Raw genomic sequence first — 26,834 nt, forward strand, 5'->3', positions numbered from 1 at the left:
ATAAATGGTGCTGGGAAAACTGGCTAGCCATATGTAGAAAGCTGAAAATGGATCCCTTCCTTACACCTTATACAAAAATTAATTCAAGATGGATCAAAGACTTACATGTTAGAGCTAAAACCATAAAAACCCTAGAAGAAAACCTAGGCAATACCATTCAGGACATAGGCATGGGCAAGGACTTCATGTCTAAAACACCAAAAGCAAAGGCAACAAAAGCCAAAATTGACAAATGGGATCTAATTAAACTAAGGAGCTTCTGCACATGAAAAGAAACTACCATCAGAGTGAACAGGCAACCTACAGAATGGGAGAAAATTTTGCAACCTACTCATGTGACAAAGGGCAAATATCCAGAATCTACAAAGAACTCAAACAAATTTACAAGAAAAAAACAACCCCATCAAAAAGTGGGCAAAGGATATGAACAGACACTTCTCAAAAGAAGACATTTATGCAGCTAACAGACACATGAAAAAAATGCTCATCATCACTGGCCATCAGAGAAAAGCAAATCAAAACCACAGTGAGATACCATCTCACACCAGTTAGAATGGTGATCATTAAAAAGTCAGGAAACAACAGGTGCTGGAGAGGATGTGGAGAAATAGGAACACTTTTACACTGTTGGTGGGACTGTAAACTAGTTCAACTATTGTGGAAGACAGCGTGGCTATTCCTCAAGGATCTAGAACTAGAAATGCCATTTAACCCAGCCATCCCATTACTGGGTATATACCCAAAAGATTATAAATCATGCTGCCTTAAAGACACATGCACACGTATGTTTATTGTGGCACTATTCACAATAGCAAAGACTTGGAACCAACCCAAATGTCCATCAATGATAGACTGGATTAAGAAAATGTGGCACATATACACCATGGAATACTATGCAGCCATAAAAAAGGATGAGTTCATGTCCTTTGTAGGGACATGGATGAAGCTGGAAACCATCATTATCAGCAAACTATCACAAGAACAAAAAACCAAACACTGCATGTTCTCACTCATAGGTGGGAATTGAACAATGAGAACACTTGGACACAGGAAGGGGAAGATCACACACAGGAGCCTGTTGTGGGGTGGCGGGAGCAGGGAGGGAAAGCATTAGGAGATATACCTAATGTAAATGGCGAGTCAATGGGTGCAGCACACCAACATGGCACATGTATACATATGTAACAAACCTGCACGTTGTGCACATGTACCCTAGAACTTAAAAAAGAAAAAAAAAAAAACATAAAAGGCATCCAAATTGGAAAAGAAGTCAAATTGTTCCTCTTCACAGACGACATAATCTTACATATAGGATAACCTAAAGACTTCAACAAAAAACTCTTAGAACTGATAAACAAATTCAGTAAAGTTGTTGAATGCAAAATCAACATATGAAAATCAGTAGCGTTTCTATACACTAACAACAAAGTAGCTGGAAAAAAAAATCAACAAAGCAATCCTGTTTACAATGGCTACAAAAGAAAAAAAAATTCCACCTAGGAATAATTTAACTGAGGAGGTGAAAGACCTCCACAAGGAAAACTATAAAATACTGATGAAAGAAACTGAAGGAGACACAAACGAAAAAGCATCCCATGCTCATGGATCAGGAAAATATTAAAATGACTATGCTACCCAAAGCAATCTATAGACTCCATGAATTCCTATCAAAATTCCAATGACGTTTTTCACATAAAAAGAAAAAACAATCCTAAAATATGTATGGAACCTGGCTGGGTACAGTGGCTCATGCCTGTAATCCCAGCACTTTGGGAGGCTGAGGTAGATAGATCAACTAAGGCCAAGAATTTGAGACCAGTCTGGCCAGCACGGTGAAACCCCATCTCTACTAAAAATACAAAAAATTAGCCAGGCATGGTAGCAGGCACCTGTAATCCCAGCTACTTGGGAGGCTGAGGCAGAAGAATCGCCTGAACCTGGGAGGCGGAGACTGCAGTGAGCTGACATTGCACCTCTGACAGTGGCACTCTGGCCTTGGCAACAAGAGTGAAACTCCATCTAAAAAAAGAAAAAAATTTGTATAGAACCAAAAAAGAGCCAGAATCACTAAAGCAATCCTGGGCAAAAGGGAGAAAGCTGGAAGCCTCACACTACCTGACTTCAAAATGTACAAGACTACAGTAACCAAAACAGTATGGTCATGGTATAAAAACAGACACATAGACCAGTGCAACAGAATAAAGAAATCCACATACTTACAGCCAACTGATTTCTGACAAAGGGGCCAAGAACAAACACTGGGGGAAGGACGCCCTCTTCAACAAATGGTACTGGGAAAACTGGTTATCCATATGCAGAAGAATACAACTAGAATGTTATCTCTCACCATATACAAAAATCAACTCAAGATAGATAAAAGACTTAAATGTAAAATCTAGAATATAAAACCACAAGAAGAAAACATAGGAGAAACACTCAGGACATTAGTCTAGGTAATGATTTTATGGAGACCTCAAAAGCACAGGCAACAAAAACAAATGGGACTACACTGTAAAAAGCTTCTGCACAGAAAAGGAAACAATCAACAGAATGAAGAGACCTCCTGTTGAATGGGAGAAAATATCTGCAAACTCTTCATCCTATAAGGAACTAATGTTAGACATTTCCCAAAAGAAGACATCCAAATGGCCAAGAGGTATATGAAAAAAATGCTCAACATCCCTAATCATCCAGGAAATGCAGATTAAAACCACAATGAAATATCATTTTACCCCAGTTGAATGGTTATTATCAAAAAAGACAAATAATAAGATGCCTTCAAGAATGTGGAGAAAAGGAGTCTGAAACACGGTTGGTGGGAATGTAATTAGTACAGCCATCATAGAAAACAGTATGGAGATGGCTGGGTGCAGTGGCTTATGCCTGTAAGCTCAGCACTTTGGGAGGCCAAGGCAGGTGGATCACGAGGTCAAGAGTTCAAGACCATCCTGGCCAACATGGTGAAAACCCTGTCTCTACCAAAAATACAAAAAAATAAGCCCGGTGTGATGGCAGGTGCCTGTAATGCCAGCTACTCGGGAGGCTGAGGCAGGAGAATCACTTGAACCTGGGAGGTGGAGGTTGCAGTGAGCCAAGATCACACCACTGCACTCCAGCCCGGGTGACAGAGCGACACTCCATCTCAAAAAAAAAAAAACAAAAAACAAAAAAACAAAACACAACAGTATGGAGATTTCTCAAAAAACTAAAATAGGGCTGGGTGCGATGGCTCACACCTGTAATCCCAGCACTTTGGGAGACTGAGGTGGGTAGATCACTTGAGGTCAGGAGTTTGAGACCACCAGCCTGGGGAACATGGTGAAACCCTGTCTCTAATAAAAATACAAAAATTAGCTGGGCGTGGTGGCACATGCCTGTAGTCCCAGCTACTTGGGAGATGGAGGCTGAGGCATGAGAATCACTTGAACCCAGGAGGAAGAGGTTGCAGTGAGCTGAGACTGTGCCACAGCACTTCAGCCTGGGCGATGGAGCGAGACTCTGTCTCAAACAACAACAACAACAACAACAACAACAACAAACTAAAATATAACTACCATAAGATCCAGCAATCCCACTACTAGACATTTATCCAAAGAAAAGAAAACCAGTGTATCAAAAGGATACTTGCACCCCCATGTTTACTGCAGTGCTATTCACAATAGCCAAGAAATGGAATCAATCTAAGTGTCCATCAGTAGATGAATGGATAAAGAAAATGTAGTATATATCCATAATGGAATACTCTTCAGCCCTAAAAAGAATGAAATCCTGTCATTTGCATCAACATGGGTTGAACTGGAGGTCATTATGTTAAGTAAGGCAAGCTAGGCACAGAAAGGCAAATATCCCATGTTCTCACTCTTATGTGAGAGCTAAAAAAAAAAAAAAAAAAAAAAAAAAAAAGTTGGGGCAGGCGCAGTGGCTCACACCTGTAATCCCAGCACTTTGGGAGACTGAGGCGGGTGGATCATGAGGTCAGGAGATGGAGACCATCCTGGCTAACAAGGTGAAACCCTGTCTCTACTGAAAATACAAAAATTAACCGGGCTTGATGGCGGGCACCTGTAGTCCCAGCTACTTGGGAGGCTGAGGCAGGAGAATGGCATGAACCTGGGAGGCAGAGCTTGCAGTGAGCCAAGATCGCGCCACTGTACTCCAGCCTGGGCAACAGAGCGAGACTCTGTCTCGGAAAAAAAAAAAAAAAAAAAAAAAGATCTCATGAAAGTAGAGAGTAGAATGATAGATATCAGAGGCTTAGAAAAGAGTGAGTGGGGTTGTAGTGGAGAAGCTAAAAAGAGAGGTATGTTAGTGAGTACAAAGACAGAGTTAGAAGGAATAGTTCTAATGTTCCATAGAACAGTATGGTAACTACAGTTAACAACATAGATTACATATTTCAAGGTAGCTACGAGAAAATCTGAAATGTTCTCAATGCAAAGAAATGATAAATGCTTAAGGTAACTGATATCCCAAATACCCTGACTACTGTGGGAAGTCAGGGACCCCAAATGGAGGGACCGGCTGAAGCCATGGCAGAAGAACGTGGATTGTGAAGATTTCATGGACATTTATTAGTTCCCCAAATTAATACTTTTATAATTTCTTATGCCTGTCTTTACTGCAATCTCTAAACATAAATCATAAAGATTGCATGGACACTTATCACTTCCCCAATCAATACCCTTGTGATTTCCTATGCCTGTCTTTACTTTAATCTCTTAATCCTGTCAGCTGAGGAGGATGTATGTTGCCTCAGGACCATGTGATAATTGCGTTAACTGCACAAATTGTACAGCATGTGTGTTTGAGCAATATGAAATCTGGGCACCTTGAAAAAAGAACAGAATAACAGCAATTGTTCAGGGAATAGGAGAGATAACCTTAAACTCTGACCTCTGGTGAGCTGGCGGAACAGAGCCATATTTCTCTTCTTTCAAAAGCAAATGGGAGAAATATCGCTGAATTCTTTTTCTCAGCAAGGAACATACCTGAGAAAGAGAATGCGTGCCTGGGGGTAGGCCTATGAATGGCCCCCCTGGGCGTAGCCGTCTCTTATGGTCGAGACTGCAGGGATGAAATAGACCCCAGTCTCCCATAGTGCTCCCAGGCTCATTAGGAAGGGAAAATACCCACCTAATAATTTTGGTCAGACCGGGTGCTCTCAAAACCCTGTCTCCTGATAAGATGTTATCAATGACAATGGTGCCCAAAACTTCATTAGCAATTTTAATTTCACCTCTGTCCTGTGGTCCTGTGATCTTGCCCTGCCTCCACTTGCCTTGTGATATTCTATTACCTTGTAAAGTACTTGATGTCTGTGACCCACACCTATTTGCACACTCCCTCCCCTTTTGAAAATCCCTAATAAAAACTTGCTGGTTTTTGCGGCTTGTGGGGCATCACGTAACCTACCGACATGTGATGTCTCCCCTGGACGCCCAGCTTTAGAATTTCTCTCTTTTGTACTCTGTCCCTTTATTTCTCAAGCTGGCCGATGCTTAAGGAAAATAGAAAAGAACCTATGTGAATATTGGGGCAGGTTCCCCGATACCTGACTTGATCATGATACATTCTATGCATGTATCAAAATATCACATATACCTCATAAATATGTACAAATATTATGTACCAACAGAAAATTAATGGTCAATGGAAAATATAGACCCATACAGGTTTTTAGTAACTTGTCCAAGATCATATAACTAATAAAAATAGCTGTGTCCAGAATCCAATTAATCTAATTCTGATTGAATAGTTTCCAAATTCAGGTGATTATCAGACTCACCTAAGAGGGCTTGTTGTTTTAAAAGATACATATCCGAGGCATTACCACTAAGAAATTCCCATTAATCATGTCTGAGGTTGGGTATGAGAATTCGTTTTAATAAACAGGTGATTCTCATCATCAGCTGGTCTTAGGAACTTTTGAATGAGACTATTCTATCTATCCCTTTTATCCTCCTACTCCTAGTGAAATATAAAAGTACCCCTTCCCATCCTTATTTTTTGAGACTATAGAAAAGCCCACAGAGCAGTGCGTAGCCCACAGTAAGCAGCGTAAGTATCAGCTATTATTACTATTAGTATTATTTTGAGATGGAGTCTCGCTCTGTTGCCCAGGCTGGAGTGCAGTAGCGCAATCTCGGCTCACTGCAACCTCCACCTCCTGGTTTCCAGAGATTCTCCTGCCTCAACCTCCCAAGGAGCTGGATTACAGGCGTGTGCCACCATGACCGGCTAATTTTTTGCATTTTTAGTAGAGATAAGGTTTCACTGTGTTAGCCAGGATGGTCTCCATCTCCGGACCTTGGGATCTGCCTGCCTCGGCCTCCCAAAGTGCTGGGATTACAGGCGTGAGCCACCGCACCCAGCCAGTATCAGCTATTACGATTGGCAGCAATCATGAGAATGAGCTCAGTGGTCTCCCTAAACACCATCCATGTACAAGCACTGAACTAGGCACCTGAGACATAGTGGCAAGAAGGACAGACTCAGTTCCTGTTTGCAGATCCTGCAATCCATCCCAATAAAAGTATGGTGAGACATAAGTTCAAGTCAGCAGGGGGCAGTATACGTGGTTAAGAACATGGTCCTTGTTTAACCTGTCTGAATCCCCATTTCTGCCAGACTACTTGTATGATCTTAGGCATGTTATTTAATCCACCTCTTGGCTCAATATAATTGGTGTAAATAACTGAAAACAGTGATCATAACATAATTAAGAACTCAAATGTTAGGTACAACTTATGTTATGATAGGAGAAATACAGTGCTATAGAAAGCCAGAGGAAAAGAACTAATCCAGAATTGAGTGGATCAGAGAAATATGCAGAAATTGAGCAGAGGCTACAGGAGGAGAATGGGACTGTTCGTGGCAGAAGAGACAGTTCAAAGGCCCACAGGTAAGACAAAGAACAAGAAATTAGGGAAGTCTAGCTAGAAAATAGAGTACAAGTGTGGGGAGGTGAGAAGGACACACAAAAATTAACCAGATGCATATAAGTCACAGACTTGTTTTTGTTTTGAACAGCAATGAGATTTATTTTTTCAACTTTTATTTTAGGTTCAGGGTACATGTGCAGGTTTGTTATAAAGGTAAACTTGTGTCACAGGGGTTTGTTATACAGATTATTTCTTCACCCAGGTACTAAGCCTAGTATCCAATATTATTTTTTCTGATCCTCTCCCTCCTCCCACCCTGTGCACCCTCCAGTAGGCCCCAGTGTCTTTGTTCCCTTGTGTACAAGTGTACTCAATGTTTAGCTCCCACTTATAAGTGAGAACTTGTGGTATTTGGTTTTCTGTTCCTGTGTGAGTTTGCTAACGACAATGGCCTCCAGCTCCATCCACGTTCCTGTAAAAGGCACAATCTTATTCTTTTTTATGGCTGCATAGTATTCCATGGTGTATATGTACAACATTTTCTTATCCAAACTGTCACTGATCAGCATTTAGGTTGATTCCATGTCTTTGCTATTGTGAATAGTGCTGCAATGAACATTCACCTACATGTGTTTTTATGGTAGAATGATTTATATTCCTTCAGGTATATACCCAGTAATGGAAATGCTGGGTCAAATGGTAGTTCTGTTTTTAGCTCTTTGAGGAATAGCCACACTGCTTTCTGCAACGGTTGAACTAATTTATACTTCTACCAACAGAGTATAAGCATTCCTTTTCTCTGCAGCCTCGCCAGCATTTATTTTTTGACTTTTTAATAATAGCATTCTGACTGGTGTGACATGGTATCTCATTGTGCTTTTGATTTGCATTTCCCTAATGATTAGTGATGCTGAGTTTTTCATATGCCTGTTGGCTGCATGTATCAGACTTGATTCTGAGGGCTACAAGGAATATGATGACCTATTTTTGTATTTTAGAAATATTGCCCTGTCTGCAATGTGGAGCACCAAATGGTGGTGGGGAATAGGGAGAGGAGTGGGGTCTAGGGAAACAAAAAATTAATCAGATGGCTACATGATAATTCCCTATCTTTTCCCTCAGACCTTTTGGGTAGTGCTTTTTTTGCCTCACATAATTTTCCAATAAAAAATTTCTATTCACTGTTTCCTTTCACTATTTTTTAAACTTTCTAAAATACTCAGGCCAGATCTGTTGCCTTTCCACCAGTGCTAACTTTCATTTGTATTCACATTACCATATCTTGGTTTTATTTCTCCTTTTTTCCTTACCTGATGCTTATCATCCTTCATATTAAACTTTGTTCAGTTTTAATGAGATAACTGTAGTATAATTTAGCAAAGAGAAGTGAAAAACTCAATTTACTATCAAATCAGTACTTGTACCTCTATTATTAAAAGATGCAAGGAGCTTCTCTTTTTGTTACAGACACTAAGTAGAGGGGAAAAGCCCACTTTTAAAGTTTAAAAATATAAGAAATGAAAATGATCAAAGGGGAGATATATGACCTTCTCTGGGTGTTTCCAAAATTCCCAAGAGTAAATTGAGCCAACACCACATGATAAACAAAAATATCCTTGCAACTGTTTTACTTGGACTTTAAAACTACTAAGTACCTGTTCAATTTTATCCTTAAAAAAATTTACATAGGTTAAGTTGCCATTTTCTCAAATATCTCTGTATAATACCTTGAGCAATTTAGCACCTAGGAAAAATGGTAAAATCAGGTAAGATCCCTTCGAATACAGCGTTTTCCTCAAATCTATTTTGAAGTATATTGATAGATACCGTAACTACACAGTATTCTTTTGGTGACTGGTCTGATTGGTAAAATAATAGAAAGATTGAAATTTTCTTAATTTCTTCCATGTAAATAAGAGGACTATGATTTTCTGAATATAACCCCAATGATGAGAGGCACAACACAGGTTTCAGCAATTCCATAATAACACCTTTTATAATAACTAAAAAGAAAACAGAGGAAATAAGATGGAACACAAAAATTATTCAATTAAAACCAAAAGTGCATGAAAAGTAGAAACAGAAATAAACAACAGATGGGATGTATAGAAAAAACAGCAAGATTCTGGTCTTATAATTGAATTTAAGAGCCGAGTCTCAAAGAGCTTAATTGGCAAAACGCTGCGCAGCTAACAGGTGGTGGGAACCAAAGTTCATGTAAATTGTACCAGAGCACAATGCACTTCTGATTCTGGCAGAAGTATTAAGGTTTTATGAAATAAAAAAAAAATCTTTCATAAAACTAATATACTTATGTGTTGAAGCAACTCAGAGAACTGAACTTTTGGATTTCTTTCTGAACTAATGAGCTGAGGCAGGATTTTATATAAGGATATCAATTTGAGATTTTCCAGTCTCTACAATTATTCAATCAGCATGATGGTTTTTTAAAAAGCTGTGGGGAGGGGAAAGAAGGGAAGAAAAATAGCCTATGGAATAGACTTCACATAATATCTTTTGGTAGCCATTTGTTGCAGCTCATTTTACCTTAGTTTTTGGTTCAAGAAGGATGTTTATATAGGCCTATGGCTATTTACTCTGTTTACGTATCTGCCTCCTGTTACTATTTTTTCTGTATTTAGGCCAGAAATTGCACACACTAGTTTTACAGTGCTTTATTTAACTGGATTATTTGCCTGTTATCAGTAAGCAAAAGAAAATGCACTTTTTCAAGGTACTCAGAGATAACATCTTCCAACTTGAGGGCAAGATTTTCTCAGCTAATTTCACTATTTTTATGTAATTATTTTTATCATTCTTCATATTAAGTTTTTGTGTGGTTTTAATGAGATAACTCATATAATTTGGCAAACAGAAAAGGTAAAAAACTCAAAAACTTATGATCAAATCAGTACTTGTGCCTCTAGTATAATTTTAAAAGATGCAAGGTGCTTCTATTACTGTAAGAGATTAAAAAATACTATAAAGTTTGTCACAAATATCTTTATACTCTTATTAACAGCTTCACTAATCAGCAAAACAAGACTTTATTGATCTTTATAAAACTAGTACTGAAAGTAGTTAACTACTGAATCATTCTGGTTCCATGATTAAACTGGTTCTGTAGTTGAACTATTGGAAATAACTTCTAAACGTAAACTTCCTAATGACTGAAATACATTTATGTCATTTAAATTTTCGCTTCTTGAATATAGTACCTTAAAGATGTTATTAGAACTGTACTTTTCTAATTTTAGAACCGTATGCAAACTTGCACTTTTTCCCATCAAAACCAAAAAAAAGGTAACTCTATTACATGAAAAAAACGTTCAATAAAGAATAGGTCCAATAAAAAAGTAACAAAAAATATTATATGAAAAAAATTTTCAATAAAGAGTAGGTCCAATTTGTTCAGCACAAGCACAAGTTATATCCATGTGGTGTCCAGATCTTTGAGGTACAGTTTCTATATATCATATATGCATATTCTCAGTTCCTAACCAATACTGTGTGGAAAGTATTTCTCTCATACATTTGGATAGCGGATGTATTAAAACTACTTTGGCCAGTACCACAGAATCTCCTAACTCTTTAAACTAAATAAAAATAAAGAAAAAAAATCACTACACATTTATATTTTAATAACCAGTGCTTTTTAGGGGAATAGCAACACAATTAATGCTTTAACCTTTTCAAACTCTGTAAGATGCTTTGTTTTATACCATTAGAATAAAGCATATGCTCAAATTGAATTTAACTGTCCTATATATCTTATGAAGCAAAATTAGCTTTTATTTATAGAAAACATGTTGTCCTTTCTGAAGTCTTGTGACTTCTAACATAAGTCTTCTAACAGAGTAAGTTAAATTCAGGCCCAGCGCTGTGGCTCACACCTGCAATTCCAGCACTTTGGGAGACCAAGGCAGGTAGATCACTTGAGGTCATCAGGAGTTTGAGACCAGCCCAGCCAACATGACAAAACCCTATCTCTACAAAAAATAACAAAAATTAGCCGGGCATGGTGGTGTGCACATGTAGTCCCAGCTACTTGGGAGGCTGAGGCACAAGAATCACTTGAACCTGGGAGGCTGCAGTGAGCTGAGATCGTGCCACTGCACTCCAGCCTGGCTGGGCAACAGTGTGAGACTCTGTCTCAATAATTAATTAATTAATTAATTAATAGAGTAAGTTAAATTTAATATTAATTTGCCAAATTAATACAAATCATTTCATATAAAAAAGTTTTTTTTGCTGAAGTATAAGTTCAGATTGATTTCTTTCCATTTTCATGGGATAATACAACAGCCAGGTATGTCCCTAGTGAAATAATAGGTCTAGACAATGGTTACAATGATCACCATTTCATGGAATAATTTTCCATTTTCATGGGATAATTCAACAACCAGGTATGTCCCTAGTAAAATAATAGATCTAGACAATGGTTATCAGTGACTGGTAATATCATAGAGAGACATAAAACATTATGTGCATCTAGCTGATGGAAGTATACATGCCACCACCTAAAAGTTTTCTTGCTAAAAATTAAATAAGTAATTAAATCTGAACCTAACTAGGCCTCTAGATCTAAATGTCTCAGAGGAGAAATAAAGGTGACAGAGGAATCTGTTAACACCATGCTGCTGAAAAAAAGGACCTGATTTCTTCAGCAAATAAACTGCAAAGGAGGAAAAAGAGGGAGAGGGAATCTGTAGATGAAAAGAGATTTAAGAGACATGGCAATCATTGGGAGGCTGAGGCGGGTGGATCATGAGGTCAGGATTTCGAGACCAGCCTGACCAACATGGTGAAACCTGGTCTCTACTAAAAATACAAAAATTAGCCGGGTGTGGTGACATGCGCCTGTACTCCCAGCTACTCAGGAGGCTGAGGCAGGAGAATCGCTTGAACCCAGGAGGCAGAGGTTGCAGTGAGCCAAGATCGCGCCACCTGGGCAACAGAGCGAGACTCCATCTCAAAAAAAAAAAAAAAAAAAAAAAAAAAAGAGGCACTGCAATCCATAGACCTCTTTTAAATCCTAAAATCCAAACTTTAGAAAGCAAAATAAAAAACTAAGTACTTATGAGACAACTGCAGAAATTTAAATAATGACTGAATCCTTATTTATTTATAATGAATTAATATTTTTGATATGATAATGGTACTGTGGTTTTTGGTTTTTAAGAGTATCCCTCGGTTAGTGCTGGGCGCAGTGGCTCACTCCTGTAATCCCAGCGCTTTGGGAGGCCGAGGCGGGCAGATCACCTGAGGTCAGGAGTTCGAGACCAGCCTGACCAACATGGTGAAACCCCGTCTCTATTAAAAATACAAAATTAGCCAGGCGTGGTGGCACATGCCTGTAATCCCAGCTACTCAGGAGGCTGAGGCAGGAGAATCGCTTGAACCCAGGAGGCGGAGGCTGCAGTTAGCTGAGATTGCACCATTGCACTCCAGCCTAGGCAACAAGAGCAAAACTCCGTCTTAAAAAACAAACAAACAAACAAAAACTCTCTTGTAGAGATACACATTGAAGTATATGATATATTTGGGATTTATTTCAAAAATAATCTGGGATTATCCAAAAATAGTCTGGGATGGGAGGAAGGGGAGGATGTGGGATATATATAGTTAGTATACAAGTAGCCAAGTTGATAATTATGAAGCCAAAAAATGGGTACATGAGAGTTTATTACACTATGTTCTCTACTTTTAGATGTGCTTGAAACTTTTGTTAATAAACTGTTAAAAAACAGACGTCTAACAGATGCTTATGGTCTTACCTTATCTTTAGATGAAGAATGCTTCTTGGCAGCTCTAGGTTGATGAATATTTTCTATAGTAACATTGCCACTGTATCGATCATGATCTGTCTCCCGTAAACTTCTATATTTATTCATTCTTCCCCAAAGTAAAGGTTTTGAAACCTATGTAAATGCCACATACAGAAACCAAAACCTCTTTAGTAAATAAATTCTGGATGTCCTCATCTTAAAATTTTTGACTGACTTGAAATACAAAAAATTAACAAATTATCAAAATAAAAAGTGTTTAAGAGTTTAAATTCCTTGAGAATAAAAACCATCATACTTTATGCATACTTACACAAACCCCCAAATCAGACTCAATTATGAATACAAACTCAATTATATATAAAAAATAATGACTCTCAGATATCTGGTAATATACTCAACAAATGTTTAAATAAATGATTAAATGTTCTTCACCAAAGCTTCATCATTAGTTTTCTTCTCCTTACCCTTTCTTCTATTATAGGAAGTGAAATATCAATGAATGGATCTTTCACCGTGGAGATCTTAAAAGGAAAACACATTGAAAACTTCAGTTAGAATTCTAATATAAACATACAGTTTTGTAAAGTACAAAGAAATCAAACTTCCCGGGCAACCTAAAATTTTACGTTAAAAACTGTTCCTGAAAAAAATAGCAATTTAATTGGGTATTGCAGCACATTGTTAATCAAAACAAGATATTCTCAAACATCAGTGAATGGTGATCCAATTGAATTTTATATTACTGTCAATATGACTGGCCTGTAATATTTAAAATAACTTAAAAAAACTGTTTAATAAAACAGATTAACTAAAGAGACTAGACATTTTTGGTTAGCTTAGGGCTGTAACATAAGTAAACTATGAAATGTTAAGAAAAAGCCATGAAAAAAAGCAGAGAGCTTGGCTGTGTTTTATAGATTCTTTAAGATAATTTTGTTTTAAAAGATACTCTCTATCTTGTGAGAGAGAAAACAACTTCTGTGTTGAATAGTCTAGAAACTTAAATAATCATGGTCATGCATTCTGTGTTTCAATGTGACAGGCTAGAATGAGATATATTTTATAATCCTGCTTCTTTAAGGCTAGAGAACACAGAAAAATACTCATAATCTGGGACAGGAAAATGAATAAAGGCTCCTTTTACTATTAAAATCTAACAGAAATTTAAACCTATCATACTCTAAGTCATACACTTACAGAAATATTCCTTGCCAAGCAATTGAAAATCTACAAAAAATTCATACATGCTTTAAGTTGTTAAAGATGGCATTCAAAATAAAAATTATTAAGTTCAAAGTGAGTGAAGTCTACACAAAAATCTTTAATACGTCATATAAACTTTAAATCAAAGGTGATATAACCACCCTAAATTATGTTAATACATTAAGTTATTTCTATTGGAATTAGTTTTTTTTTTTTGAAACTGAGTCTCGCTCTGTCACCCAGGCTATAGTGCAGTAGTGCGATCTCGGCTCACTGCAACCCTGCCTGCTGGGTTCAAGTGATTCTCCTGCCTCAGCCTCCCGAGTCATTGGGACTATAGGCACCCACCACCATGCCTGGCTAATTGTTTTGTATTTTTTTAGTAGAGATGGGGTTTCACCATGTTGGCCAGGCTAGTCTTGAATTCCTGACCTCAAGTGATCCGCCGGCCTTGGCCTCCCAAAGTACTGGGATTATAGGCATGAGCCACTGCACCCAGCCTGGAATTACATTTTAGGGCACTGCAACGTAGCACAGTTACTCTCTTCACAGAAGTTTTTCTCTCACTTCAAACAGATAGCTAATGAATTTCAGTATATTAAGATAGGCTAAAACTGCCTCATAGGTGTGTCATGAGGAAAAATAACACAAAAATACATTTACTTTTAAAAATATATAAATTATCACATTTACTTTCTAGGAGTGTAGCGTATAAAAAGACTTTCAAGAATCATTATGTAATCATCTGTCAAATTTTAAAAATGACTGCCAATGATTATATGTGAAAGAAAATATAATAAAAATGATGTGATTGTAATCCATTCCATGCTGAATTGAATTCTAAAGTACCTACATTTGCACATTCTTCACACATGACCGTGCTAGTTAATTCACCAATAAAGATCCGATCTATGAAGTTCATTTTCACACCTTCTTTTCCATATGCTGTAAAAATCATACTTTTTAATGCAAAAAACATGTCAACCATCCATCTAGCAGTATAATAGGCTATCTTCTGGTTATTCAAAAGTAATCTGAATAAGATATTCTGTACTACATTTAATAATACATTTTACTATACATACAACATTCTAAAGTCTTTCTCCTTTACAATTTTGTAGCAGATTTACGACTATCAACTACTTTAGTCTCCAAGAAATAATGAACTATTCTTAAGAGGTAAAACAAAACAACCACTATTCGTACCACACCTCAACCACTCCCATTAAAACTTATAAAACCTCATGTCTAACCAATAAGTACCCAGAAGAATGGAAAAGGAGATTATGCTATCAGGACTACGGATGCCAGGATCACGGCTATGAAAATAACAGTCGTAAAAGGCAAGTGTAAGGAATTAACATAGGTAATTAAGAACTCAAGAACATGGTTATATTTTTAAAAGTTAAAATTATTCTGCTCAGGAAATATTTATAAATTAAAAAAATGCCAATGACTTAGTTTAAAATAACCTGAGGTTGGGAGAAAATGGATTAAACATAAACCATGAACGCAGTTTAAGTTGGGTGACAGATATAAAGGGCTGCATTATGCTATTCTCTCTACTTTAATAAAAATTTGAAACTTTCCATCATAAACCATGGGAGGAAAAAGTATATTAACAAACCTATTCACCCCTCTTTCAAACTTCTTTTTTGAGCCTCTATCTTCAAGTTTCATACAAACAATATTCAAAATCATTTAAAATATTAGAGCACTGAATGACAGAAAACATGTGAATATATCAGTAAACATTAATTAAAATTGTATTTAGAAATACTATAATAATAAAGATATTTCTTCTAGAAAAACTAAAAGGGATTGGAAATAGTACAAAACTGGAAAGAGGGGGAAGAAAAACGGGGCTGTTATTCTAAACATCCACGAGATGGCACTATCTCAACACAAAAGAACAAGGCATATTTGAGCAGCTACGTTTTTTAAAAATCTTGAACCCTTAATTACAATAAAGTGCACAGTAACAATGTGTGTATGTTTGCAAATTATAGACCTGTAGTACATACATTATAAAACCACAAAAACAAAAGTTAGAAAAAAATACAAATAATATTTTTAAATGTCTTCTAAAAATCACTTCATGCTAACATTAGTTAGTATCTCAATGCAGAATATACATTTAGGGCAAGGTATATAAACCCTATATAGTATTGATAATGATAAATAACCAACTTTGATTAGGTAATCATCATTTGGGGCTCATATTTTTATGGATGAATAGCAAACACTAGGAGTAGGCAAAGTGCACTTACACTTGACTTACCAGCACTCTCTTCAATAAACGGTTTATTTGCAGGAGTCTTTGGAGCACTTAAACATTTTGTCTAGTTACATCTAAAAAATATCCATAAATCCATTGATCCAAACACATGTCAAATGATACAATATGATACATATGAACTTCCAAGTGTGGTTGCTACTTTCAACAACCTTTCAAGTTTCCCTTAGAAGACCTCACATAAAGGTATCGGTGTCAATCTGTATACTTGGTATAGCTTTATTCTTATAAATTCACATGAATACATTCTAGCATTTTCTATGTTCCACTAAAGTATTTTTCAGACACTGCAGCAACTACGTCCTCCTTTTAAAGCCACTACTTTGGTGGATTAGTTCACATAATGTTCAGTTCTTTTTCCAACTAAAATAAAATTTTAATATTTTCTTAAAGAAAAAAGTTTTAACAAAGAGTCAACATACCTTTGACTTTTTTTCTAGTTTCATCATCAGCAGTTTTAGTAGTTGGGTTGTTAAATGCTTTTAGAATGCTAGCTTGTATTCGCTGTAAAACAAAGTTAATAGATTCTGGTCTAATAATAGTTAACTCAGGCCTCATCCTCCTAATAAAAGTACTTTCAAACAGCAAGGTACACTGTGGATTTCAGTTCCCTAGTTTGAAAATAAAATGACCAAATTTTTTAAAAAATGTAATTTCTTCCAGGTCTCAAATTCCATGAATAGATTGCTCTAATGTCAAATTTTCCCAAGTAAGAGTCAGAATTTTTACATTTAGGTTCTCTCTTGGATTTAATGTATTTTTATCAGTGTACAAAAAGCAAGCAGCCTAGTCCTGTTGCTTAGCATAAATTAATTTGCCCTCTTTCTTCCTTCTCCCTCTCTCTAAAATGACACTTCTTAATTAGGACCAAAAAAGAAAATAGACCATATGAAATTTATTGTCTATGAAGACCTTTCTATATTAAGAAGCTATCAAGCTGGTTACTATAATCTCTATGCTATGTGGACTACCTCATTTATATACACATATAACTAAAGTCCAAATTTATCAATTAATGTCCATAGCAAGAAGAATCCCCCAAATTTTAATTATGGTTTTACTTGAACTTAGTTGTCAATAATGATTATGTTTTCAGCAGCTCTCAGTAAATGACAAGGTTTATATTAACTATTTCTACATCTCTTGTGTATGTTTTAGGAAAGATCCAATCTCACAGAAAAGTTTCAGAATAAAACTACATACTCCAAGAATAAAACTTAGTAAGTGACCTTTTAACATTAACTATGCCCCTAATTAGTGGATGAATTTTGTCTTCCTAATTCAGATTATGACAGTAGGATGAGGGAAAAGTTTAATTATCTTTCCAAAAAATATATATATAATTAATATATATATAATATATATATATATATTTTTTTTTTTTTTGAGAGTCTTGTTTTGTTGCCCAGGCTGGAGTGCAGTGGTGTAATCACTGCCCACTGCAGCTTTGACTTCTCTGGGTTCAAGTGATCCTACTGCCTCAGCCTCCCAAGTACCTGGGACTATAGGCACACACCATGACACCTGGCTAATTTTTAAAAATTTTTTTGTAGAGATGGGGTTTTGCCATATTGCCCAGGCTGGCCTTGAGCTTCTGAGCTCAAGCAAGCCACCTGCCTCAGCCTCCCAAAGTGCTGGAATTACAGGCATGAGCTGCCACACCTGTTTTTTGTTGTTTGTTTGTTCGTTTTGTAGAGACAGGCTCTTCCTATGTTGCCCAGGCTGGTCTCAAACTCCCAAAGTGCTGGGATTACAGGTGGTGCCTGGTCCTTCCTATCTTTTAATTGGAAAAGATCACTATGATATATTAAGTGAAAAAAGACAAAGTACAAGTTATATATATGGTATATGCCACCTTTTGAATAAGGAAAAAAAGAGCATAAAGGAAGAAAGACAAGAACACGGGATATAAACAATGGCAAAGTCAAAACACAAGAGAGGCAAAGGGATCTCCCAGGAGCATGGTTAGGAGGAATTCCAGAGTGACACCTATACATCAGATATGAGAGGTAAAGAACCCAGATTGGAGCAATGAGACTTATGAATCAGAAATATTGTCAACACCAACATCCCCTTCTGCCATTATAACATGCTTTTAATCTAAGAACACAATATTATATGGAGAAGGAGGTGATCACATTCTTATTCTCGCTCCATGCCCTGCTGCCTGGATAAGCAGAAGACACTCATGACCCCCAGAATTGTTCTGCTGTGTATGATTTATGTTTCTTCTGTGTATGATATATGTTTTTTAACACATCCTCCTCCAACAATTGTGAAACCGAGTTTCACTTATTACTAACTGGCCTGTGATTAACACATTATATTTCCTATAACTGTTCACTGTCCTCAAGCATATTTTGAAAATTAATACAAGATTCAAAACACTTAAATATTTTACAAAGTAGGGGATAAAAGCAAACATAAAGCAATTCATACCGTGTGACACAAGTCCTGAAATACACTTATATACTATAAAGAAATCAAACAATAAAATGTCTCCCAGAAGCTATTAAATACTGAAATAATCTCCAATTCAGACTCAATAAATTTGAAAGTTGATATAATTCAGACATTGTCTAAGCTAAAGTTGGCTTTTACACCTTGAAAAAAGAATTTATTGAACTAAAGTAAGCAAATTGGAATTGTGTAAATTCCATGCAGGAGAAATATTTAATGAACTTAAATGAAAAATTCCAATAAATACCAATGTTCACTCGCAAATATTTCAGATAATCATAACATTTCAAACAACTCAAGAGAAATACTTCTAACTCAACTCAGTCTGTAAATTTATCCTACAATTTAAACATTTTACTAATTCAGACATGATTTTTGATATGATTTAATGAAACTTTGCTATATATCCTGAAATGTCATATCACTCAAAAGAAGCTAAGAAGTTACCAATTCAAGCAGCAGGAAAAAAGCTAAAAAGCTGTGATTACACTCTAAAAAGAGTAAAATGAAATTGTTTACATTATTAACTTTTAAATATTAGACTTTTGCTTTTTAATTTTGATCCTAACCGTGAATTTATATTCTCTACTCCAAACTGTTTAAAAGTCAATTAATAGGTAATTCATCAAGTTGAGGAAAATAAATGAGTTTACGTCCATATACAATTCCTCATTGTTAAGAGTTGTGCTTTGAACAATTTAGGTTAAAAGAAAGATACATACTTTGGTCAGGGAGCTGTTAATAACTGTAGCACTTAATCAATTAGCAGTATCAAGGTTCAACTATTTCAGATCTCCACCTTATACTTTAAAAACAAGAATGAAAATAATGTACAGTTTTAGCTGAGATATTCTGTCTTTAAAATAATTCTAACCAAAAATATATTACAGTAATAAATCTTGAAGATAATAAAAATATAGTATCATTAATTTAGTGACTGTGCAAATTAAAAGGAAAAAACAAAGAAGCATAAATGTATAAATTAAAAAGACTGCCTTATAAAAGAACTACTTCTAGGAAATTTGATTTTGTACATGAAAAATTTACAATTTCTGCACAAATGATCCTTTAAGTACTATATTCAGCAAGAGTATATTCCTCAATGTTGTAGTTCAGAAAAGACTTTAATGAAACCATATGAAAGGAGGTCAGTAGTTTTTCATCATTACTAAAAGATTCTGGTGGCAGACATAACACTGTAGCCTTCCTTCAATCAAGAAACACATGGCAGTGACACCCTACAACAACAGCATGATTAACAGCTGTGGAGTTCCCAGGCCAGACAATGCAGCTCCTGCCCTGATACTGTAGCTGACCGTCAGGACTGTCCTCGCTTATGAAATTGAATAGATCCACAGACTTGACATTTTAATTTTACTGCACCATTTAAAGCCTTCAAATAGTGCAAGAAAGATAAGAGCTTTCAAAACCAATGTGTCCTGCTGGGCTGCCTAAGATACTGTGCATCCCAATGCACCATTACGACTAAACAATAATTTAATTATAACAAAGACTGCTATCAAATTATAGAGGTAAAACAGAAAAAAGTGACAGGGATATATTTTACTTTTTTTATAATATCAACAGAAAAAAAACCCCAAGACATAATTTTAATCCATTCACATGACTTTTAACTTCACTTACTAATTTTTTTTTTTTTTGAGAACGTGTCTCACTCCCTCACCCAGTCTAGAGTGCAGTGCCGCGATCACAGCTCACTGCAACCTCCACCTCGAGTTCAAGCAACTCTCCTGCCTCAGTCTCCTGAGTAGCCAGGATTACAGACACGCATCACCATGCTTGGCTAATTTTTGTATTTTTAGTAGACACGGGGTTTCACCATGTTGGCCAAGCTGGTCTCGAACTCCTGACCTCAGGCGATCTGCCCACCTCAGCCTCCCAAACTGCTGGGATTACAGGAATGAGCCACCATGCCCAGCCCACTTACATAATTTTTAATTCCATTTAATGATACATGACCACCACATAGTAAACGTATTCCTGCAAATCATGGGGAAAAAAATAATTCTAGCAATTGATAAATCTGAATTAATCTTAAAGTAACTCATATCATCTGTAGGCCCATTTATTGTTCACAATACAAAAAGCAACCTGTTCCCACCGTGCCAACATGCATCTACCCCTCAACAAGAAGAGCAATATACCATAATTATTGAATCCAATTTAATACTTTTACAAATAGTAAAATAATTGTGGTTACATTTTAAATAGCAGACTTAAAATCATTATTTCTACTGACTACAGATGTCCAAGCATTTAAACTTCAATCAGCAGTATTTTATAGAATTAGAAAGATCATTAGTTTGGGAGTCAGAAAGACTTGAGTTTGAAGCTCAACTCTAAGTATCAGTTCCTAGCTCTAAGAAAATGTGATCAAATACTAGCTAGGGGACTACGCTAATATCCTCAATGGTTAACTAATTATAAATCTCTTTTTTTTTTTCTTTTTTAGACACAATGTAGGTAAAACAACACAGTATTATCCTGTCGGTTTATTAGTTTATTCAAATACAACATATTCAAAATAATTGCAAATCACAAAGAAACTAGCTAGTATAACATATAAGAATAATTATTTTGATTTCTTCCCAATTCAAATTCTCAAAAAAAAGTTGCGTTTAAGGTTAAGCACATACAACTCATTCAAAAAACATTCACAGGGAGCCCGGAGTGGCAGCTCATGCCTGTGATCCCAGCACTTTGGGAGGCCGAGGCAGGCAGATTACTTGAGGTCCGGAGTTCGAAACAAGCCTGGCCAAAGTGGTAAAACCCTGTCTCTACTAAAAATACAAAAAAAAAAAATTAGCCAGGCTTGGTGATATGTGTCTGTAATCCCAGCTATTCAGGAGGCTGAGGCAGGAGAATCACTTGAACCCAGGAGGTTGGAGGTTGCAGTGAGCCGAGATCACAACACTGCACTGCAGCCTAAGCAACAGAGCAAGACACTGTCTAAATAAATAAGCAAGCCTAGTCAACATGGTGAAACCCCATTTCTACTAAAAGTACAAAAATTAGCTGGGAATGGTGGCACACCCTGTAATCCCAGCTACTCGGGAGGCTGAGGCAGGAGAATCACTTGAACCTGGGAGGCAGAGGCTGCAGTGAGCTGAGATCATGCCACTGCACTCCAGCCTGGATGACAGAGTGAGACCCTGTCTCAAAAAAAAAACAAAAAAAACAAAACACACACACACACACACACACACAAATTCACAGAACATCTACTATGTGCAAGGCACACAGGACAGAGACAATACATAGTACCATTCCTCAAAGAGATCACAATCTAAGAAAGCTGACAGATAGGGACATAAATCTAAATAGAAAGTGGTAGGGTTTATGATCAAATATGTAAAAGTAGAGAGGTGGCAGAAAAGGAATGACACCTCTAAAAGCTGAATTCAATTAGCTTAATAAGAAAGTCAATAAACAGACAATTAAAAATAGGATTGTGATACATGATGTTTTATAGCAGGAGAGAGTAATTAACTCAATCCTTACTTTTAAAGGAAACTTTAAAGAAAATATTAGAACTCTAATTTTCTCTTCACTGGAAACTGGTCACTAGGAGTAAAGAGACACTGCCACACTACAATTAAAACAGGATTTTTGTTGTTTTTTGAGGTAGGCTCTGCTCTGTTGCCCAGGCTGGAGTGCAGTGGTGCGATCACAGCTCACTGCAACCTCCGCCTCTCGGGTTCAAGCAATTCTCATGCCTCAGCCACCCAAGAAGCTGGGATTACAGGTGTGCACCACCACGCCTGGCTAATTTTTGTGTTTTTAGTAGACACATGGTTTCACTATATTGGCCAGGCTGGTCTGAAATTCCTGAGCTCAAGTGATCCGCCCACCTTGGCCTCCCAGAGTGCTGGGATTACAGGCATGAGCCACCATATCTGGCAGAATTTTTTTTAAAAAAGGAAGGTCCATCTTGCCTAGCACTACTTATCACAAGCACATATGCACTTCACTGAACACTTGGCTGCTTTTATTACATATTACCATATAGATTAAGAAGTATATTTGCCTTGAATGGAAAACAGGTTTTCACCTATTACTCCAATTATGACTGACAAGGGCTGCCCACAATGGTGTGCTCAGAAAATAATTCTGAGGCTGAACCCAAACTCACCTGGACTGTTAGGAACGATCAGCAATGTCTTCTATGAGTAAGAGGGAGGAAAATGGAGAATGTGTGCTGTGTATCTGATATCCTTAATATCTTGCATTTTCTCTGATAAACTGATCCTATGTGCACAGGAAACCCCTCCCAGAAGAAGTTGAATTTAACTAATTTAACGTTAAAGTCAATAAAGAGCCTATCAGTTAGGGGATAGGCCTACAATCAACACTGGGGAATCTATCCAGTCCACAGGCTATTCCTTTTCTGAGAAATGCTCTCTCATCTAAGAGGCTGGGACTCCTCTCTCCTAGCCACAAACAACTGATCCATGAGTGGAATTTAATCCAACATGGAATAATGAAGTTTCTGTCTACTGGGAATTTAAAAATTGAGAATCATGAATAGCCAGTATAGTTTTTACATACATGGAACTATGACATACAAATACTGCTTGGTCTGCATGGAGAAAAATGAAGAAAATTTACAGAGCCAGAGAAACTAGGATAATAAGAAGAATGCTTTCTGGATTCCTGACAGCTTTCCTGTTCCTATATCCCCCTATCGCCCAGGAATAATATCTCCCTGCATCTTAAGATTCCTTTTTTTTTTTTTTTTTTTTACAGCGTTTCACTCCGTCACCCAGGCTGGAGTGCAGTGGCACGATCTCGGCTCACTGCAACCTCCACCCTTGGGGTTCAAGTATTCTCCTGCCTCAGCCTCCCAAGTAGCTAGGATTACAGGCACACGCTACCACACCTGGCTAATTTTTGTATTTTTAGTAGAGACAGGGTTTCAGCATGTTTCCCAGGCTGATCTTGAACTCCTGACCTCAGGTGATCCACCTGCCTCAGCCTTCCAAAGTGTTGGGATTACAGGCATGAGCCACCATGCCTGGCCCCAATTCCTTTTTACTTAAGCTAGTTTAAATTATTTTATTTACAGCCAAAGGACATTAACTAAAAAGGACAATAGGGCTGTAAAAGGATAAAGGTAAATATCTTACAGAAGAAAGAAAAAATATCTAGAATATTTACTCTAAAAAATTAAATTATTTCTCAACTGTACTTTTAAATTGTAATAGAAATTACTTACTTAGTTGTTTTTTTGTTTGTTTGTTTTTTGAGACAGAGTCTCACTCTGTCACCCAGGCTGGAGTAGTGCAGTAGCGGGATCTCCGCTCACTGCAACCTCTGCTTCCTGGGTTCAAGCAATTCTCATGTCTCAGCCTGCCAAGTAGCTGGAATTACAGGTATGCACCACCATGCGCGGCTAATTTTTATTAGAGACGAGGTTTCACTATGTTGGCTAGGCTGGTCTGAAACTCCTGACCTCAGATGATCCACCCCGCCTTGGCCCCCCAATAATCCCTTAGTTTTGTATCCTCTTCTTGAAGAGAATACATGATATACATAAAGAAACCTGACCTTTGTTTCTTCTGTCCTCACTGCATCCAGAAGATAATGAAGAAGCTCCTGACTGTCCTGTTGCTGGAAATCTTTAAATCGAGGTGCCCTGTGATTTAAAAACAAAAGAGGAAAGAAAAAAAGAATAATCATTCCATGGTTCATCAACACTCTTCTCTAAATGCACTTGAAATAGCATATTATTAGCTGGGTGCGGCAGCCTACGCCTGTAATCCCAGCATTTGGGAGGCCAAGGGGCAGATCACTTGAGCTCAGGAGTTCGAGACCAGCCTGGGCAACAAGGCAAAACCCCGTTCTCTACCAAAACACACACCCACACACACAAAATGGCATAAAGACACAGTTTACTACTTTTCCAACTAAATAGATGAAATGTGATTACTGGTCCAATTAGGGTGTGATCTTAAGTGTGCACTGAGAATATGGCTATCATTTATTAAGCAACTACTATATGTTAAGCACAATACTAGTAGTTTTTCACATGTTCAGGCATAATCCTCCAACAACTTTGTTGGGATGTACTGTTTTCTCCAACTTACACATGAGGACTCAGCAGTATTGTTTAAATCATTTGCAAGGTCATACAGCTAGCAAATAAACCAGTATTCAAACCCAAGCCACTGTGATTTATTATCTTCCTACCTTAACCAAAAGGAAAGCAAGAGAGTGTTTCTATTTCATATAAAGGACTATAAGTTGATCTCCCTGTGAATATGTTTTTTAAGGACTTGATAATTAAATTTCCTCTGTATTAACTTAATAGAAAGATCAGGTACTATTCATGGAGACACTGACATAGGAAATATTTGGTTGATTTCAGTAACTTTAAAAAGTAACCTACAGTAAACTCTATGCTAAAATGAACATTTTGCCTTAAGTGCAGACAAGTATTAAATCTAGAAAGTGTTCAGACCTAAGATGAAGAAATAATTCTGTCAAAATACAAAATAATTAGAATATATTATAGTAGAAGACACATTTACAACTATTTATGATATTTACAACATATCTCATGTGATATACAAAACAGCACTGTTCAGGAATTTATAATTAATATAAGTTCTACTTTATGCTTGAGAAAATCGAAGAACAAGCTAAGTGCCACTAACATAACTACAGGTCTTTTGACAGAGTGCAGTACTTAATTATTTTTAATTATTATCTCATTTTTATTTTTGTGAGATGGAGTTTCACTCTGTCACCTAGGCTGGAGTGCAGTGGCACAATCTCAGCTCACTGCAACCTCCGCCTCCTGGGTTCAAGCAATTCTCCTGCCTCAGCCTCCTGAGTGGCTGGGACTACAGTTGCTGGCCACACCTGCCATCGTGCCCGGCTAATTTTTGTATTTTTAGTAGAGGTGGGGTTTCTCCATGTTGGTCAGGCTGGTCTCGAACTCCTGACCTCAAATGATCCACCCACCTCAGCCTCTCAAAGTGCTGGAATTACAGGCATGAGCCATCACGCCCGGCCAAGTGCAGTACTTTCAGCATTATTCTTCATTATCTCAGGATAAATATTAATCCTAATAATACAAAGAAAGTGAGTCCCTGACTGCTAAAACATTAACCGGTCATCAATCCAGCCTGTAAGAGGAAACACCACTCCAGACATTCTTGCTAACTAGCAGCACATAGCAACATGCTGACAATACTTTATTACCTTGATGGGCTTCCCTACCTGCACTTGGTGGACAGAACCCACCTCCTAGATTAGAGATGAGGACAGAAACCAAGATGGACACATATTCTAATCCTATTTGGACCTCCACAGCTGGCATCAGGAGAGGCAGAAACTGCAGAACCCTATACTTATGCTGTATACTCCAAGGAAGGCCAGTGAAGTAGCAGATGACTAGAGGAGGGAACAGGAGAATCCCTCAGAGATCTTCACTAGCCAAGTGGTAGGTAGGAGGAGGGGGCAGTTTATGGCTTTCAAAGCAGACACACAAGGAGGAAATCATTCCTGAACAAAGAGAAACTGCCTCCACCATGTCTCTGCCTATAGCTCCTTCTCAACCAATGCAAAAACTATTTACTGCCTTCTAAACCACTGAAGAAAATTTAATAAACTTAGATTTGTTTTTTTTTTTTTTTTTTTTTTTTAACCTAGGAATGGGCAAAAAAAAATCATAGGATGATTTCTAGACTCTATGATGGAGCCTATCTGAGCTACCCATATCAAGAGAGACTTTCAAACCTATTAAAGGATTAAAAGATAAAAATCACCAAACATATGAAAATATTCAGCCTATTCAAAATAAGGGGAACCCTAAGGATTCCCAGGAAATGTACTTTAGTAAAAGTATTGCCATGAGAAAGAGGAGAGGACTTTTAAAAACCTCAAGGCATGAGAGAAAAATATATGTACAAGCATAAATTAGGAGACTGTCAAGAAAAAGAAATTTAATCCACTTCTATGTTCATCACAGTGCTATTCACAATAGCAAAGACATGGAATCAACCTAGGTGCCCATATATGGTGGATTGGATAAAGAAAATGTGGTCCATATACACCATGGAATACTACACAGCCATAAAAAAGAACAAAATCATATCCTTTGCAGCAAGCAACATGGAAGCAGCTGAAAGCCATCACCCTAAGTGAACTAATGCAGAAGCAGAAAACCAAATAAAACAA

The 26,834-nt window shown here is 37.1% G+C and overlaps 1 protein-coding gene across 25 annotated transcripts in view, besides 1 other annotated feature; it reads right to left on the bottom strand.

Moving 5' to 3' along the window:
* The window catches only part of USP45 (ubiquitin specific peptidase 45), an 85,522-nt gene that overhangs the window by 19,621 nt on the left and 39,067 nt on the right, over nt 1-26,834 (bottom strand). For 10 of the 25 annotated variants that reach the window (NR_144345.3, XM_005267170.5, NM_001346023.3 and 7 more), the window contains exons 9-13: nt 24,198-24,285; nt 16,592-16,673; nt 14,727-14,818; nt 13,135-13,191; nt 12,659-12,802 (exon numbers count right to left, since the gene is read on the bottom strand). Coding sequence is in view for 20 of the 25 variants with exons in the window: in XM_005267170.5 (XP_005267227.1) it covers nt 12,659-12,802; nt 13,135-13,191; nt 14,727-14,818; nt 16,592-16,673; nt 24,198-24,285 (463 nt within the window). In the remaining 5 variants the exon portion in view is untranslated. The other 15 variants (NR_144347.2, XM_047419426.1, NM_001346030.2 and 12 more) reach the window with 6 other exon arrangements.
* Nucleotides 4,775-5,494: an enhancer, noted in NCBI's record as "NANOG hESC enhancer chr6:99904596-99905315 (GRCh37/hg19 assembly coordinates)". NCBI's record gives its function as "activates a minimal SCP1, AML or CMV promoter by ChIP-STARR-seq in naive H9 embryonic stem cells {active_cell/tissue: H9 hESC(naive)}" and the evidence as "EXISTENCE:reporter gene assay evidence [ECO:0000049][PMID:30033119]".

Source organism: Homo sapiens, chromosome 6 (assembly GCF_000001405.40).
Source record: "Homo sapiens chromosome 6, GRCh38.p14 Primary Assembly".
In the NCBI taxonomy this organism is placed as follows: Eukaryota; Metazoa; Chordata; class Mammalia; order Primates; family Hominidae; genus Homo; species Homo sapiens.